Source organism: Homo sapiens, chromosome 15 (assembly GCF_000001405.40).
Source record: "Homo sapiens chromosome 15, GRCh38.p14 Primary Assembly".
Lineage (NCBI taxonomy): Eukaryota > Metazoa > Chordata > Mammalia > Primates > Hominidae > Homo > Homo sapiens.
Genome location: NC_000015.10, coordinates 99895336 through 99898885, shown reverse-complemented (window position 1 = coordinate 99898885; position 3550 = coordinate 99895336). Strand labels below are relative to the sequence as shown.

Sequence of the window (3550 nt, the reverse complement as noted above, 5' to 3'; positions counted from 1 at the left end):
ATTGATTTGTGTATGTTGAACCATTCCTGCATCCCAGGGATAAATCCCACTTAATTATGAAAATTATATTGCTATTTAAACTGGTAGCTTCAAAATTCCTACTGTGTCAGTCAGTTTACCAGCAGAAAGCAGCTGTCACAAACAAATAAAGGTAATTGCAGAAGATTGAATAAAGAACCTATTTACAAAGGGAAGAACAGTGTATAGGAAAAGAACAGAGGTTAGTGAAATGCCCTATTCTAGTGACAGTGGAGCCATTACTGTCTTGGCCAGAACAGGCTAGAGGAGGAGTTTCTGGAACCTAGCATGAGACGTTGTAAGGAAAGGGCCATCTTGAGAGGAGCTTGGGCCTGTGAAGGACACATTCAGTCTGAGGTTACCAGGCAAGAAGCTATCCAGAAGAGTCAGTGCTGGGTGAGTTTCCTCTCATCTTCTGAAACCTGGTGATATGGTTTGGCTTTGTCCCCACCCAAATCTCATCTTGAATTCCCATGTGTTGTGGGAGGGACCTGGTGGCAGGTAATTGAATCATGAGGGCAAGTCTTTCCTGTGCTGTTCTCATGAGAGGAAGTCTCACAAGATCTGATGGTTAATATAAGGGGGAATTTTCCTTCACAAGCTCTCTCTTTGCCTGCTGCCATCCATGTAAGATGTGATTTGCTCCTCTTTGCCTTCCACCATGATTGTGAGGCTTTCCCAGCCACATGGAACTGTAAGTCTAATTAAACCTCTTTTGTAAATTGTCCAGTCTCAGGTATGTCTTTATTAGAAGCATGAAAAGAGGCTAATACAGGAAATTGGTACCAGTAGAGTGGGGCATTACTGAAAAAATACCCAAAAATGTAGAAGCAACTTTGGAACTGGGTAACAGGCAGAGGTTGGAACACTTTGGAGGGCTCAGAAAAAGACAGGAAAATGTGGGAAAGTGTGGAACTTCCTAGAGACTTGCTGAATGGCTTTAACCAAAAGCCTGATAGTGATATGGACAATAAGGGCCAGGCTGATGTGGTCTCAGATAGAGATGAGGAACTTGTTGGGAACTGGAGCAAAGGTGACTCTTGTTATGTTTTAGTAAAAAGACTGGCAGCATTTTGTCCCTGCCCTAGAGATTTGTGGATCTTTGAACTTGAGAGAGATGATTTAGTGCATCTGGTGGAAGAAATTTCTAAGCAGCAAAACATTCAAGAGATGACTTGGGTGCTGTTAAAGGCACTCAGTTTTATAAGGGAAGCAGAGCATAAAGGTTGAGAAAATTTGCAGCCTAACAATGTGATAGAAAAGAAAATCCATTTTATGAGTGGATTGCAGAAATTTGCATAAGTAACTAGGAGCCCAATGTTAATCCCCAAAACAATGGGGACAATGTCTCCAGGGCATGTCAGAGGTCTTCATGGTAGCCCCTTCCATCACAGGCTCAGAGGCCTAGGATAAAATGGTTTCCTGGGCCAGGCCCAGGGTCCCTGTGCTGTGTGCAATCTAAGGACTTGGTGCCCTGCATCCCAGCCACCCCAGCCATGACTAAAAAGGGCCAAAGTACAGCTTGGGCTTTGCTTCAGAAGGTGGAAGCCCCAAGCCTTGGCAGCTTCCACGTGGTGTTGAGTCTGCAGGTGCACAGAAGTCAAGAATTGAGGTTTAGGAACCTCGGCCTAGATTTCAGATGTATGAAAATGCCTGGATGCCCAGGCAAAAGTTTGCTGTGGCCAGGGTGGGAGTGGGGGGCTCATGGAGAACCTCAGCTAGGGCAGTGTGAAAGGGAAATGTGGGGTCAGAGCCCCCACACAGAGTCCTTACTGGGGCGCCATCTAGGGATGCTATGAGAAGAGGGCCACCATCCTCCAGACCCCAGAATGGCAGATTCACTGACAGCTTGTACCATCCACCTGGAAAAGTCACAGATACTCAATGCCAGCCGACAGAAGCAGCCAAGAGAGAGGCTGTACCCACCAAAGCCTCAGGGGTGGAGCTGCCCAAGACCATGGGAACCCACATCTTGCATCAGTGTGACCTGGATGTGAGACACAGAGCCAAAGGAAATCATTTCACAGCTTGAAGATTTGACTGCCTTGCTGGATTTCAGATTTGCATGGGGCCTGTAGCCCCTTTGTTTTGGCCAATGTCTCCCATTTGGAATGGCTGTATTTATCCAATGCTTATACCCACATCTTATCTAGGAAGTAACTAACTTGCTTTTGATTTTACAGGCTCATAGGCAGAAGGCAATTCTCTTGTCTCAGATGAGACTTTGGACTATTGACTTTTGAGTAATGCTGAAATGAGTTAAGACTTTGCAGGACTGATGGGAAGGCATGATTGGCTTTGAAATGTGAGGACATGAGATTTGGGAGGGGCCAGGGGCAGAATTATATGGTTTGGCTGTGTCCCCACCAAAATCTTATCTTGAATTCCCACGTGTTGTGGGAGGGACCTGGTGGCAGGTAATTGAATCATGGTGCAGGTCTTTCCCGTGCTGTTCTCATGAGAGGAAGTCTCACAAGATCTGATGGTAAGGGGAAGTTTTCCTGCATAAGCTCTCTGTTTGCCTGCTGCTATCCACTTAAGACCTGACTTGCTCGTCCTTGCCTTCTGCCATGACTGTGAGGTTTCCCTAGCCAAGTGTAACTGTAAGTCCAATTATACCTCTTTCTTTTGTAAATTGCCCAGTCTCAGGTATGTCTTTATCAGCAGCGTGAGAACTGACTAATATGCCTGGCTAGGTTAACAGAGCTTAGTTTATATGCGGATGTTAATATTTGGTAATGGGTGCTTAAATGTATTGTGAACATGAAACTTGTGAAGACTGTAGTGACGGATCAGTCATGTCTGCTTTCAATATTAGAAGACATAACGGTGTCAAGCTTGCCAAATATTTTCCAGTGTCTTCCCTGAAAACATTATGGTTAGAGAAACTGCAAGGAAATTTCTGAAAATTCTGAAGTGAAGAGCAAATTCTCATAGGTGAGGCTGAAAGATATTCATGCGTAAGGCATAGCATGTGCAAATATCTAGAGAAATAAAAGACCATGCACTATTCTTAGAATTGCAAGTACCTACAATATGAACAGAAAGCATAACAGGTGAGAACAACAGTGTGAGAAATAGGTCCAGTAAAGCAGGATGCATTTAGATAATGAAAAACCTAGAAGCCGAGCATGTGAAGTTGGGTTTTTAGCCATGAGTTGTCATGATGAAATTTTGCATTTAAGCAGCCACTTTGATGTCAGTGTACAGAATGAACTGAAGCAATGAGCAGAGTAAGCGGAACCAACAAAGAAAGCTGAAGAAAGACACCCAGTGAGTTCAGCTTTACTTAGTTAAGCTTCACATTTATGAGTTGCCAGTCAGTGCTGATTCCTGGCAAATGGATGGTTGTGAATATGACACAATCCTGCCCTGCCCCAGAAGAGCTTATAGGAGAGAAAGGCAATTTCTCCAAGTGCCCTGGGAGCAGAGAGCTAGAAGAGGAACAGAAATGAAGGTGAAAGAGGTCAAGCATGACCATTCTTTATCAGCAAGGCCAGTACCAACTCCTGGGGCTTACGGAGTTCCCCAG

The 3550-nt window shown here is 44.6% G+C and overlaps 1 annotated feature.

The window, feature by feature from the left end:
* Positions 2273-2352: an enhancer, noted in NCBI's record as "active region_10164". NCBI's record gives its function as "activates an Ori minimal core promoter by ATAC-STARR-seq in GM12878 lymphoblastoid cells {active_cell/tissue: GM12878}" and the evidence as "EXISTENCE:reporter gene assay evidence [ECO:0000049][PMID:35858748]".